Here is a 16,251-nt window from a genome sequence, read left to right as displayed (position 1 = left end):
ACAAATCACACCCTCATCCACTCCTCCCATCTTGTGACATTCTAAAAACATCACCTAGAAAGATGCTGGGCACAAAATAAAATCTCGATAATTCTGTTAAATAACTAAAAAAAAATAGAAAACTACATCTTTGGTTAAAAAAAAGAAAAAAATTAGTTAATTGACACAGGAACTCGGTTCTCAGTGCATTTGGGGTATTTTATTAGTCGCCATTTTTATACACTAACATGTACTTTGCAGCCTGGAGAAATGTACAGAAGGCAAGCTTTGGAAACAACTACATTTAGGACTTAATAGTGGCTGCAAAACAGAACAATCTAGATAATTTTCTATGATTCAGTTTCCTTAATTGTAAAAAGGAAGTATTTTTTAATAATTTTATGAAGATTAAATGAAACATTTTATATGGCAGATATAAGACCATATATACCTAAACCTAGCTTTAATTCTTTTCTTCTCTGACCCAACTTTATGTATAAATTGCTACACATAATTTAAAATATTATAGCCACGAGAAAATTAACTCTTAATTTACAATGACCAACTCCAAAACAGAATTTTATAAGTCATTTTGAACCAGTGTTTTATTTAAATTTAACTTTTTATGCTTTTATTCATAATCCTTTTTTTCTCTAAAACTAAAAATATTTTCCCTGTACAACTCTTACCACCACTGCCAACCCACTAAAAGGTTATAAATTCATTAATTCTTATACTTGAACAAAACATTTTAAACATGTAATCAGAATGGCATATTTATAACATCAGTTTAATGAGACAATTTTTAAATTAAGTTTAGTATGTGGAATGAAATTTCTTAGTTAATTGAATGTTGTCTGCACTTTTTATTTGGACTTGGAAGGTGAATGAGTGAGCTATTGTTCAGAAAAGTGCAATGAATTACAGAAGCTAGATCTTCACTCAAAAATAATGAGTTCTGTGGGTAATCTATACTACTTTTCAGGCTAAATACTCAATTTTCTTGGACTCACCTATTGGTTTAAGCACTAGCCTCTGGTTCTCCACACAATATAAAGATTTGTGAAAGTATTTAAATAATTACAATCAAAGTAGCTTAAAATACTCCATCACTTGAGAGATAGTCTTTTAGAAAATATTAAATTGATTAACTTGAAAAGGCTAGAATTGAGGCAATTGGAAGTAAATTGTGTTTTAAATTTAAAACAACTTTATGTTCTCTAGATATAAACTAAGTACTTTTCTTTAGGTCAGTAATATTTGTAAATACACTTTCAGACCCTCTAAGAAGAGAGGAAAAGACCTAAGAAATTATAAATGCACAACTAAAAACCACTGTGAGTGTTAATCCTGTTATGAGTGAATGATGTGGGATCTTTCAGGTATGTAAAAATTAGTTTACTTATTTTGTCATTGTTTAGCAGTAATAGTAACTTTTATTTTTACTACTAAAGTACTATTATCATTTCGAATTGGTTCAAAAAAAATTCACAATGGTCTCTCCTTATCCTCAGGAGATATGTTCTAAGACATCCATGAGTAGTACCAAAACCTATATGTACTCTGCACAAATTTCTATTCCTCCATCGCAATTTCACAGAAGATTAATTCTAACCACCTATTTTAGCAACCTCAGTGTATGATTTTTTTCTCTTTAATTGTCAGGAACTTTCACCTATTCACTTAACAGAAGCACTTTATGGCTTCTCTTTGGCACACCCAAATTGCCAGAATCTTGTAATTTTAGGACATTAATAAGTAAAATAAGGATTACTTTAACACAAGCACTGTGATATAGTGACAATCAATTTTATAACTGAGATGCCAACTTGGTGACTAACAGGCAGTAGCATGTGCAGTGTAAATACGCTGCACAAAGGGATGATTCCCATCCCATGCGAGATGACAGAAAATTTAACGATGCCGCTCAAAGTAGTATGCAATTTGCAACTTATTAATTGTTCATTTCTGAAATTTTCTATTTAATATTTTTGGAGCACATGACTATGGGTTACTGAAACCATGGAAAACAAAACCACAGATAAAAGGGGACTACTGTATACCTATAGTTTGGCTATCCTAACTACACAAGAAATCACCTGTCCTGCTCAGAGTCAAATAAATTTAATTTCTAAAAGACTTATCAAAGAGCTTTCAAATAGCCATGCATTAAAAAAAAAATTAGATGAGCTATCTAACATATGTATTTTTTCAATAGTAAAAAATCAAATTACAATTAATATGTGCATAGAAGGAAGATTTGTATTTTTAAATGAGTGATAATTAAAAAAAAACTAAGGTGCTTTTTGAATAAATGTTTGTATTTACACAACACCTGGCTCACATTTTAAAATTTATCTTTTTTTGACATCCCACCATCATCCTCAGGATTCCTCCTATGAAAACGACAGATTTAACTCCAGAGGTGCAGAAATAGACAGTGGTAACTTACTTAAATGCCTACATTTGATTGATATGTATTTTCTGGTATTTAGTATATTAAAGCTTGGTTGAACCAAAATGTTATATGTGGATCAACCATACAAAAGATAATTATTTTCTTTCTTTTTTCTTGCTAAGTGTTATGTGCTAAAATATTCATGTTCATCTAAAGATTTGCATTTTCTGACAGATCATTTTGGGTGATATGCACATACCCAATGCAAATTAGACAATTCAACCATTTAACCTTGAAATATACCTAATATCTTAGATAGAGCAATTCTACAGAGAAATATGTAACACCCAGGGAATAAAAGAAAATACAATCATGCAAATATTAAGGGGTAATTCACTATATATTAAGTATATCTCCAGCAATTACATTCTCTTTAGCTTTATCTTCTTAATTATTTAGGAATTAATGTACTTCTGGTAAACACAAAAAGTTAAACAAAAATATATTCAGTCTCCATCTCACAAAATTCCACCAAAAATGTAAGGAAATATTTAATTAATGCACAAGGACAATGGAAATGGAAGTGTGAATGGTAGCTACAAAATGTAAAAAACAGAAAGAAGTATCTTTTATGAAAAGGCCATGTACTGCTGTAGTAGTTAGACTAAAACAGGCAAAGCCATGCCACAAAGTTCTAGTTAACTCCAGGAAAGCTAAAGGCACCAACTACCTTTGAAAGTAGAAGATGAATATAGGTCTTAAGATCAGAATAATAACTTAAAGTTTGTGTAAATGTTCTTAGATTTCCAGGTTTTTACTTTCATAGCACAGATCAAAGCAACTGCCTTTCCTCTACTACGGCATAAACCTAGATTTATGCTGTGAAGCATTTATACCAGGGAGGCTGTGGACTCCGACATTAGTATAGCAGGAATACCATACTGAAGAAGGAATGCATACTCAAGGAAATGCACTATCCTGAACTGAGGAAAACATTTCTCATCTTCAATCAGCTCTGATAAAAATGACAGCCAGACGTCAATACCCCAAAGTGGAACACTGGAGAACTCTTCTATGGGAAAATTATTAATACATAAAAAGAAAAGCTTACACATCTTAGGCAATGTTTCCCAAGGGCACAGCTGAGACGGAAGCCTACTAGTTGACATGTTTTTAACAGAGCTAGAGAACATTGATATTGATTCTGCTTTTTATTTCTCACTCCTGAATATAATTGGATAGCTAAATTTCAACAGATATTTGAGGACAGTCCATAACAAGAAAAAAGAGGCCAAATAGCAAATGACAAAAATAGGGAGGGGGGAATTCATAGAAACCAGAAAGAAATGTGTGGGACAAGAGGGAGTAAAGATAATGCAATCTTAAGTCTGTGAATAATAGCCTCAGAGAGGATATTTCATACGTGGAAAAATAATCCTTAATAAGGAACAATAAATACGTATATTTGAAAATATAGATATAAATGTAGATAGTTATAGAGCTACGTAAATATCCTAGATATGGTTAAATCAAGCCAATTAACATATCCATCTCCTCACTTACCTATCATTTTTTATGGTGAGATATTTGAAATTGCTTTTATAGTTATTTTAAAATATATAATAAATTGCTATTGACTATAGTCTCCCCACTATGCAATAGATCTTAAAACATATTTCTTTTATCTGAAAGTTTATACCCTTTACCACACAGCTCCATATTCCTCTCCTCCCTACCTCTCCAGTCTCTGATAAACATAATTTTACTCTCTACTTTTATGAGTCAGACTTTTTAATATTTCACATTGTATGCATATATCAAAACATCACATTGGACCCCATAACTGTATACACATAATTTGTCAGTTACAAATATTAATAGAAAAATCTCAGAAATAAAAACTCAAATGAGATGATTAAAATAAAGTTGAGGATAATCATAAGCAAATGATCAGGATGACATTCGACTTCTCAAAAGAAGCAATTAAGTCTATAAGTCAGTGAAGCAATACTATCAATATTCTAACAAAATAGTTTTGATTTATGTGGCTAATCAAATTAAAAAATCATGCGTGAGTATATTTAAGATGACATTTCAGGTATTCAAGATTTTGTTTTACTTTATATAATCCATTTGTAGAGGATTATTAGAGTATGAGCTCTATCAAAAGATTAATCTAAAAAGAGGAATAAATATAGTTCAAGTTACAGGACATCCAATACAGGACTACTGGGTTTTATGTTTGTACCAGGAATAATTTTTGGTAGGGATATTTTTAATGAAGCATTTTGCAGAGCAGAAAATGTTGTCTTGACCTAGTGGTTAAAAGGATTTAGAGAAAAAATATATTTGACTATACATTAAGATTTTAAGTACTTTAATGTATTTTTAGTTATACCTCAACATGAAGTAAATAAACCAAAACAACAAAAGAAATGAAGATAATATTAAAATGAATCTAATCAATGTGGAGGATCTAAAATGTTGTTACTAACATAACTAGTGTGCCAGCAGGATGGATGGGATGTTTGGAATTTGATGGCCTTCCCTTTCTCTTAACCTCTAATGCCTCTTTTCCATTTGACTTCTCTCTCTTCATTACTGAAGTCGACTATTTTCCAAAAGCATAAAATGAAAAGCATCAAGAGCTAGATTTAAGGACATACAACGACACCTCTATTGTATGTTTTTGAAAAACTGAGTCACGGGGAAGAAGGAATGAACTCTAACTCCTGATGGGATAAGTGGTATACAAAAGCAGAGATGGAAGAAACTGTTACTGGCTACATTTTGCCCACATGCTATCATGTGATTACTGTGATGGTAACTCATTCATTTTTACTGTCTACAAAAATTCATCTTATGAATATTCCACAAGATTCTTTCTCCCTCCCTTCTTTCTTTCCTTCCCTCTTTCCTTCCTTGTTTCTTTCTTCTCCCTCCTGCCTTTTCTACATTTCTCACTCCCCCTTTTTTCTCTTTATTATTGTTTATTTACTCATTCTTTCTTTTAAATACGTAGCTTGCATCCTTTCCAGTTTCCTTTGTTTTCTTACAAATAATGCTGTAATACTATTTTATGGTGTAATACTGTATACCTATATCACAATGCAAAGTGTTAAGATTATATCAGAACATATAAGTAGGAAGAAAATTAATGTCATAGCATATGTACAACTTCAAATTATTAGATAATGTTTAATTTTATCCAAGTTGCTTATCCAAGTTTGTTATCATTTAAGCTCTCAGTGACGATGTGTGAGAGCTCTGATTCCAATCATTCTGGCTACAGCTTGATATTTTCAGATTTTTGTTTTCTTTTGACTATTTTAGTGGCTATAAAACATTGTTTATTGGCTTTAGTTTTATTTTCATAATAACTGGAAAAATTGAGTATATTTTCATATGTTTGATGATAATTTTTGTGTCCTTTCCAGGAAAAAATATTCATGTGTTTTTACAATATTTTTTGAAAGACATGGTATATCATCCCAATTATATTTTTTTCACAGGCATAAAAATTCTTCCAACTTTTCTTTAGAATTATATATCCTTCCCTACTGAGCTAATATGCTAGTTTGATCATATTTTAAATATTTACACATTTAAACGACACAATTATTTTTTTCTTTTCATTTAAAATGTAAACAGAAATACAAATTTAAAATAAGAGGCTTAATTCTCTCTCTTGAAAATATAGAAAGATATTTCCCTTCCCTATTTCTCTGAGCACTTATCTTAGAAAACTTTTTACTCTAAATATATTCTCCTCTCTTTGAAATGTGTATAAATCTTTCTGAAGACTACATAGACCTTTTGCTAGCTTTGTGACTCAGGACTAGCTTTTTCAAAGACCTTGGAGTCATCTCTTTGAAATGGAAACATCAAGGAAGATAACACCCCTACCTTCCAGTTTCAGTCAAAGGGTAGAAGTCTAACTTTGTGAGTTCCTTGCTCCAAACTGCAAACCTATCTCCTGTTACAAAGATACAGAGAAGTTGTTAGTCCTGTGGATAAAGTCAGTTACCTAAATAGATGATCGCCTCAACTGCTAGGTAAGTTTAAATAAACTATGTGTGGCAAATGTTGCTTGTGAAGTCCTCTTACTTGAGGACTAGCTGTTGTTTATCTTAAAAACAGGTATGTAGTGGGTTGTATCTGCTTTGTCTATATAAGAGGGTAAGATTTCTTTCTGTCTCAGAAATCTCTTAGTAGATTGCCTGTGGTGTGGATTGCATTCTGATGTAACACCTATACAATAATAAAACTGTTTACTTTCTTTCTTTTTCATTTTTGAGATGGAGTCTCACTCTGTCTCCCAGGCTGGTGTGTAGTAGCGCGATCTTGGCTCACTGCAACCTCTGCCTTGCAGGATCAAGCAATTCTCCTGCCTCAATCTCAGAGTAGCTGGGACTACAGGCGCCCATGACCACGCCCAGATGATTTTTGTATTTTTAGTAGAGACGGGGTTTCAACATATTGGTCAGGCTGGTCTTGAACTCCTGAACTTGTGATCTGCCTGCCTTTGCCTCCCAAAGTGCTGGGATTACAGGCATGAGCCACCACGCCTGGCCAACTGTTTCTTTTCTCTACTACCCTTGTGGTAAGTTTTTCTGGGCTGGAAGACTTTTACTTATATTTCCTTAACAAAAACATCTATAAGGCTCTGTACAAAACAATTAGAAATTAAGATAAATTTATATTTATGTCTATTATCTGCTAAAATATGTGGTGCTCTCTGTCTCTCTGTTTTATTTATTTAGTTATTTATTTTGGTCCTTTAATTTAGGTCTGCATGTCAGTTTCAGTTACTGCTGCCCATAATTATAAGACTATGAGGCAAAAGACCTAACAAATTTATACCAATTTTTAGTTTCTGAGTTTTGAGAACTATAAAAGTTATAAAATTTTAGCCCACATCTCTTTTTATGGCATAACTTACAGAGACTTAAATGTACATTATGTGTTACATTTTTATAAACTGTTGCAAATGCATCCAGTCATGACACCCATATCCCTATCATGATAAATAGCAAGGGTTGAAAAACTATAATCTATGGGCTAAGTCAGGCCATTGGCTGATTTGTTTTTTAAAAAATTATTGGAGCACTACTAAGTCCATTTATTTATGCATTTTCTATGGCTACTTTTGTAATAAAGAGTATTACAGAGTAATGAAATATAGAGTGGTTGCAACAGAGAGCCTATGGTCCCAAGAGGTTAAAATATATACTACCTATCAATTTACAGAAATGTTTCCAGACCCCTGATATTTCCACAATGGATTTTCATGCCCCTTCCCAATAGGTACCCAGTCAAAATGTAATCACCTCTCTTCTGATATTTAACCATAGGTTATTTTCACTATCCAAAAATTTTATTTAAGTGTAATCATACAGTATTCACTTCTTTGTGTGCAGAATTCCTAAGCAAAATGTTGGGATAATTATTCATTTATTGTATCAATAATTTACTACTTTATATATTAAGTAGAATTACATTCTAGGAATATATAACATTTTGTTTATCTTGTCCTGTTGATGGACAATTATTAAATTGTTTCCACTTCAGGCTACTATTTGGAAACTGCTATAAATAAATTTTGTGTAAATTCTTTCAATTTCTATCATGTGCATACATAGTGTAGAATAGCTCATTCAAATAAGTTCTTATTTAACTATAAATTAAATACCAAATAATTTTCCAAAGTAGTTTCCCTTTTTAACATTCCACATACAGTGTATGAAAGAACACATCATTTTATATCCATGATAACTTTTTATGTTCAGGTTTTTAAATATTTATTTTACTAGTATTGTATCTGTTTGTTAGTATTTCATTCCAGTCTTCCAATGTATCTTTGTATTTTTATTTAAATTACATATCTTACAAAATTAAGATAGTTCAATCTTGCTTTTTTTGTTTAACCAAGTACTACAGTCTATGCCTTTTCACCAGGATTTTTAATACATTTTTATTTTACAATAATTATGAATATGTTAGGATTAAGTCTACAATAATGTTTTTTTTCTACTTGCCCCATCTCATCTTGTTATTGTCTTCACCCTTTTAAAAAGGCTGTTAGCTTCCCCCCACTCACCCAAAAAAATCAACACTTTTTGAAGGAAGATGATAAAATTCACTTTCAATGTCATAACAATATGATGTACATAATATAGATTTTTAAAACATGCAAAAAAAGCAGGAATGTTAAGTGGCAAAAACAAATAAATAAAACCCAAAACAAACAATAAAGAATGAGATGTGGTGGGGGAGATGAGACAAAACAGTCAGTAGAAACAAGCATTGAGGTGACTGAGATGTTGAAAATTCCAAAGCCAGAACTTTTAAACATCTACTATGCATAGGTTTAGAGATTTAAACAAAAATATATACATAATGAGTGAACATATAAGAACTTCTACAAGAAAAATGAAGGTTATAGATAAAAACAAACATAAAATTCTAGAATAGAAAATTCAATATCTGAAACAAAGTGTCCAATAGATGGTTTCACATCATATTGGATATTGTTGAAAATAGAGGTAATGAACAGGTGAACATAAAAAGAGAAAAATGACTTAAAACATAGAAAATTTGTTTAAACATTAGCAACCTCTGGTATAATATTTCATATTAATATATACATAAATATAATCTCAGAAGTAAATAAGGGGAAGATTGAATTGCAAATATATGGAGATATACTGGCTGATTATTTTCAAACTTAAAATGAAAACTATAAATTCACAGATTCAAGAATTCCCACGAATCCCCCAAGTAAGGCATTTTAGCATCAAATTACAACGAAAAACTATTAAAAACAACCAGCAGGGGAGGTTGCACTCTACATGAGAATTAATGTTCAGAATAACTAATGGCTTCTCATCAGAAAAGGTAGAAAAACAAAAACCCTAAGACATTAGAATGCTATTTTTTAGAGTACTAAGATAGATAGACAGACAGACATAACTATAAATCCACTAAAAATATCCTTTAAGATGAAAAAAAAATTTTAGATAAAATCTGGAAGTATTTGTTAGCACAAAGTCAGCCTTATTAAAAAAATGCTAAATGAAGTCTGTTAAAATGTAAAAAGATGATACTAGAAGAAAACTTGAATACATACAAAAGAATGGAGATTGCTGAAAATGGTATACATGGAGATAAAATACGTCTTTTTTTATTTCTTCAAAAAATATTTTTTATATTATATATTTAAGTAAAATATGTAGCAATAACAGGATAAAATGGGAGAAAAAAATGCAAACATGTTTTTAAGCTTTTTACATGTAAAGTGATATAATATTAATTCAAGGCAGATCATGATAACAGCGTACACTGCAAGTTCTAGAGTATTCAGAAAAATAAAGAAAATTTGGATTAGAACCAATGAGAAAAATTAGAATATTTAAAATAATTGCAATTTCATGTTTTAGTTGAACAAAAATGATTACCATGCTACTTTATTTTCTATAGAAATATAATCATATTTTAAAAATAAACAGGCATAGCTGGGGAAAAATGCATTGTACACATTTTGAAAGTTAATGGTATTTTACATGATTATTACAGCTAATCCCACACAAGTATAATTAAGTAATATCTTGAAGTTCTCTTATATAGATCACTCTAAACAAAATTAAACATAAGCATTAGTATTCCAGAATATTAGAAATTCAAAAATAGCTTTGATTTCTCTCTATGATGAGTAATACTACTAACAAAATGGAAATAACTTTGATTATGATTTCTAGAATTAAAGCTATAATGTTTTTTGTCAAATCTGGTATAATAGGTTGTTCATGAAAAATGTTATTAAGATTCACCTGAATGTTACCACCAGGAAAGTTTGTCTAAATTTGGAATATATGTAGGTAAGTGCAGAGTTAAACTTGAGATAAGAGGAACACATAGTTAATGAGATGAAATATCTAGTACTAAAAACAAATTTCTAAAACGTAATTCACACCTTTTGTCTAAAAAGAAATATTTATAGATAAGTGAAAAGCTAACTTAGGGAAGAGAAAAGAAACATATAATTTATGAAAGAAAATTTTAGTTCAAAAAATTTGTTAAAATTTACTTCACTCAACACTTGTACTAAGAAATCTCTTTAAATACAGTTTTGCAGAAGCCTCAATTAGAGAAATAAAACATATTTTTAAAATATCAAGTGTTGTACACTAAAATCTTAAAACTTCAGTAAGTCAGTTTTTACAGATTGTCAACTTTCAAACATTTTTATACAGAAAACTTATTAAAAATTTGTCACACTTTTTTGTTAAGTATATAATAAGGTAGATAATTTAGACATGTCTGAAAATGGAATTTTTGTGTAAATTAGCAGTTTGAGATATGGGGGGAGGGAAGCCTAAATATGGCAAAGGGAAAAGGACATGATATTTTTTACTCAAAGAAAGTTCATTTTTCTTGACATATCTGATGAGAGTAAAGCTACTCTCCTCCATTTGTAGCAATGCCATCTTGAATAGGTGTCATTCATGATCACATAACAAATAAGAAGAAAACTTGATTGCTTCCATCTGTTGTTTTTTTTTTTTTTTTGAGACGGAGTCTCGCTTTTGCTCTGTCACCCGGGCTCCAAGCAATTCTCCTGCCTCAGCCTCCTGAGTAGCTGGGATTACAGGCACTCACCACCATACCCGGCTAATTTTTGTATTTTTAGTAGAGACGGGGTTTCATCATATTGGTCAGGCTGGTCTCGAACTCCTGATCTCATGATCCACCTGCCTCGGCCTCCCAAAGTGCTGGGATTACAGGCATAAGCCACCACGCCTGGCACTTCCATCTGTTTTTAAACCACTCTTAGAAATGATGCACATATTTTCAGTTTATTCCTAGATTGTTTTGACCCAGACCATACATCTGGCTCAACTGCAAAGGAGAAAAGGAAAATAGATTTTTGCATCCTCATGAAGAAGAAAATAAATTTTTATATTATAATAATATTTCTTTTTACCAGTATCAAATTATGATTTTGCAATTGGCAACTGAAAGAACACACCCTAGTAATCAATGGAGATCAGATAACTAAAACTATTAAGCCCAAATTATGAGAAAAAGTAAAAGTAAAATATTTTACATTATCAGATATTTCAGGCCAAAGGAAAAGCTTGTGCATTATCACCAGTATTATAAATTTGAGCCATGTAAGGGGTAAAGTGTGTATTAATATAGATTAACATGAGGATATGGGATTCAACAGGAAGAAGACGTTAGAGCCAATGAATGAGAGCCTTTGGGAGCAATTAAAAGTGTATTTGAATATAATGATGTTTCAGAGGGGAAAAAAATGTTTGCAGGGAAAGCCTGGAGTCATTGAGACCATTTAGCGTTGAGACCATTTAGAACTTATTAGAGATGATCAAATAAAAGGCAATAAATATCTAACCTGATGAAATAAAATCAATGAAAGGAAGATAAATTTGAAAGATAATGAAGTGGAATTGATTTGAAATATTAGCCATGAAATCTGGGAATGAGAAAAGCAGCAGAGTTACAGCAATTTTTATATGTTGTATTTGATACCATGAAATACTGTTGATTCTGTTAGAAAAGAACCAGGAGACAAAAGGTATGTGTCAGGGAGTCAAGTTGAGTTCTCTTTGGAATAAGGAGTTGGAAAGATTTGCAGGACACAAAGGTGTATATATAGTTGAGGCAATTAGGACATTCATACCTAGAACTACTGAGGTACAAGTACAAGGCACAAATAATAAATATATGTGCCTTGTACTTGTATTTGACAGCCTTAGAGAACATGTTTAGACAACATAAAATTTGAGGATAAATAAGTAATGAGTATAAAGGAATGCTTACTTTTAATGTTGCACAACAAAGGAAAGTCAAAGATGCTTTTGGATTGAGTACTGTAAGTAAGTTAATATAATTGAAGTCAGATATTCTTATAATTTATACCTAGATCTTTGATTATGGTGTAGGTCACTGAATAATATTTCCTCCAAAATGGAAATAAATGATGTTGCTTATTCTCTGATCATAGGAAGCATGCTGAGTGAAGCACATTGTCCACACTGATCCAAGAATTGTTTACAGTCTTCTTCCATAAAGAACAGGAGTGTACAAATATGATACACTATTTGTCCCACGGATATGTGAGGCCTTGATGTTCTGTGTTCAGTTACATTCATCCGAATAAAAACTGTAATAAACTTTTTTATGGCCATTAATATTATGCCATTTTCTTTCTGAACCTCAGTATTGTGATCTCCAACTATTTTACATAAAATTATATAATTGAGGCTATGTCACAAAAGAAATTAAAAGGAGACCTAAATAAATGGCAAAGATAATATGTTCCTGAAAAGAGATATGTTTCAATCATAAAAGTTTCCACACAATTAATTTATAAATTAAACACAATTTCAACTGATATGCTGTTTTTTTAATTGCTTTAAATTCCCAAATCATCTAGAAAAATAAAGAAATATTACAGGTAAGAAAAAAATTAAATGTTAAAGCAAACTTATCTTTACAAATATTAAAGGCTATTAAGTAAGCACGATGCTAAACATAGTATATATCTGAAAGAAAAACTGATGGATAAATGGAATAATGTACATAAAAATTTAATGAAATCTCACTATGAAAGAAAAGTTATTTTGTGAAAAAAGTATTTCAAAATAGGGGACAGATTAATCACTCAATAAATTATGTTACAAGAGAGTAATTGCCTGGAAAACTGATAACACCATTATGATTAAGTAGGTGAATGAACCATTCAATAAATGGTATTGAAACAAGTAACTGTTTAAAAAATATGATAATCCTATTTTTATTAATCTCATTATTAGCTATGCTAATTGCTATAGTACACATACTATGAAAGTATAATGACCTGTGTAATAACCCACAAAATTTTTCCTCATCAGAGAGCAGCTTTCTTTCAGACTCTATCTATTTTAACCTCTCCCATACCCAAGGAATTTGAACTGTTCTATACTCAGTTAAAATAGAAAACAGCGAGATAAAGGGCAAACCACCAAAACTGTGGATTGAAGGTAACACACAATATTTTCACTTAAATTCCATCAGCGAAATGTAGTCATATAATCTAACACATATGCAAATCAGCTATAATACTGGCAGGGAAATAGAGGATTTGTGACGTGGATTGTTGATGGATAGCTATACCTATCACTTCCTACACTGTACACCAAAATAAATAATAAGTAAGTCACATATTTAAATATGAACTAGAATACAATTGTATTTACATTTAGTTACTTTAGGATTTAGCCTTTTAAATAGGTAAACTCCAAAATAAAAACTGATAAATTTGAGTAATAAAATTTTTAAAGGTTTGCATATAAAACAACCCAAAACTTGAGCAAAATTTAAGGAAATACCAAAGGAAAATATGTTCCATATATGACAAAAACTTGAAACATATCTACAAAATTTCATATAAATCAGTAAGAAAATTCAATACAAATACTATGAACTGACAATAAAAAATGAAGGAATTTAAATGGTAACTAGGAATATAAAAGAATACTGTTTTCCATTCAAATTTGTGAAAACTTAAAAATTATAATACCTGGAGTTCCACTTTCAGTCATGACGAAGTTACAAAAACTGGATTTTAACCTCCAACAATAAAAATTAAAAGCTCAACAAAATATAGGAAACAAGTCCTTTCACACACTTAACAGTAAGCCTGCAGAGGAATTAGATCCTTGAGAGGAACAAAATAGTTGAGCAGTGCAATTATCTTTTGTCTGGAGGCGATTTCCAATCAGTGTCAGGGGAGCCACAGAGCACAATGGCGTCACTAAATAGACACGGAGATCAGAATACGAAGCTAAGATGCCTCGAATGGTAAACCAGGGTTATAGGAAGAAGGACATAGAGAATGAGCTACAGATGTCTGCTTAGGCACCCCCTTGAGTGTTTGCTGATCACTAGAATGTGCAGGTACAGACAGAAATTCCACAAACCACGTTTAAAACATGGCGGGTCGTGGGGGAGAACTGGCAACCTCAATAATTCTTGGAGTTCAAATAAGGAGGGAGAGAAGGCACATTTAAGCTACAATCAGGCAGAGTTGATAGTCATCAATCAGTCACTCAGACATTTAGACTCCAGAGTTGTGACACTTAAGTGGTAGAGATGAGCTATACATGTAGTGAAGGTTTCTCTAGAACTAGAATAGCAAAGTTTCAGAGGAAATCTCGAAAGGATTAAAAATAATTTCAAAGCAATGTAAATGCTTGTCAAAATAAAGCTTCCCACCTTCTAGAGACAAAAAAAAAAAAAAAGAAAAAATAGAAATATAAGAATATAGTATCACAATACTGAATATCTGATTTTAAAATTACTGCATAGGCAAATAACCAGAGATATGTGATCCAGCCCATGGAAACAGACTCAACCTTCAGAGATATCCTGGAACTAATGGAAAAGGATATTAAAGCAGATGTCCAGGATGAAAAAGGTAGAAGAATAAATATTGGAAAGGAGTAGCTAAAACTTTTCTAAATCTGACAAAAAGTACAAAGCCGTAGATTGAAGAAAGTCTATGACTCCCAAGGACAATCACAATCGTAAAATCACCACCAAAATGTAAACATTAAAAAATGTAAAAATCTTTAAAACACATTCTTATCAAATTATTGACCACCATTATTGGAGTGTTACATGGAAACGTAAGGAGGCTGTTACTTTGGCTATGGAAAATAATTAGATAGAGAGAGTACAAATGTCTGTATCTTGAACAATACAGAACTGCAAGCAGTTTGGCCTATTGTGAGATTTATGCATAACCATTAGAGTGGAAAAATCAATGGGTTATTTAGTATACGTGATTTATTTTGCTGGAATGGGAATATTTGAAGACAATAACTCTTTTTTAATGTGGTAAAATAATAAAAAGATTTATTAGTTAATTGGTATGTTTTCAAAGTATTATGGAAAAGATACAAAAGATGAAAATGTATTTTTTTAATTTGCTACTTGTAAATTTTTCTTAGCTCACAAATTTAAACGTTTGTCATAAATGAATTAAAACCTGAATTATTACCATATTATATAAATTTAGAAGACATAAAAATGCATCATATGCTTCCTCCAGAAACATCCAGATGCATCAAACTTAACTTGGGCATCTTGCTAAGCCAAGTGTAATTATATTAAAAATACATAGTTTCTACAGAAATATGCATATGCATATTTCTATTGTCATTATACTAGGGTTCTCTAGTGGAACAGAATTAATAGAATAAATGTATATATAAAAGGGAGTTTATTAAGGAGTATTGACTCACATGATCACAAGGTGAAGTCCCACAATAGGCCGTCTGCAAGCTGAGGAGCAAGAAAGCCAGTTTGAGTCCCAAAACCTCAAAAATAGGGAAGCCGACAGTGCAGCCTTCAGTCTGTGGTTGAAGAGTCCCAAAGAGTCCTGGAGTCCCAAAGCTGAAGAACTTGGAGTCCAATGTTGAGGTTAGGAAGCATCCAGCATGGGAGAAAGATGTAGGCTGGAAGACCCAGTTTACTCCTTCAATATTTCTCTGAAAGATACGTTCATTCATATCTTTCATTCTTATCTCTTTCATCCTTGCTGCACTGGCAGCTGATTAGATGGTGCCCACCCAGATTGAGGGTGGATCTGCTTTTCCCAGCCCACTGACTCAAATGTTAATCTCCTTTGGCAACATCCTCTCAGACACACCCAAGAATAATACTTTGCATCCTTCAATCCAATCAAGTTGACACTCAATAGTACCCATCACAGCCATGAAACATAAGCCAATATAGTAAACTTCAAGATAATTTTAACACTGTAATTTTTGACTTATGTACTGTGTTAGCAGTGTTAATGCCAAATT

At 31.5% G+C, this 16,251-nt stretch overlaps 1 long non-coding RNA gene across 1 annotated transcript in view; it reads right to left on the bottom strand.

The window, feature by feature from the left end:
* LINC01035 (long intergenic non-protein coding RNA 1035) overlaps window positions 1–15,942 on the bottom strand; it is a 132,144-nt gene extending 116,202 nt beyond the window's left edge. Inside the window, exon 1 of the long non-coding RNA NR_174955.1 lies at window positions 15,688–15,942. This is a non-coding gene — a long non-coding RNA (long intergenic non-protein coding RNA 1035). The remainder of the gene's footprint in view (window positions 1–15,687) is intronic.
* Window positions 15,943–16,251: the final 309 nt, after the last annotated feature.

The sequence above is a fragment of the Homo sapiens genome, chromosome 1 (genome assembly GCF_000001405.40).
Source record: "Homo sapiens chromosome 1, GRCh38.p14 Primary Assembly".
In the NCBI taxonomy this organism is placed as follows: Eukaryota; Metazoa; Chordata; class Mammalia; order Primates; family Hominidae; genus Homo; species Homo sapiens.
This window is presented reverse-complemented; position numbering and strand designations above follow the sequence as displayed.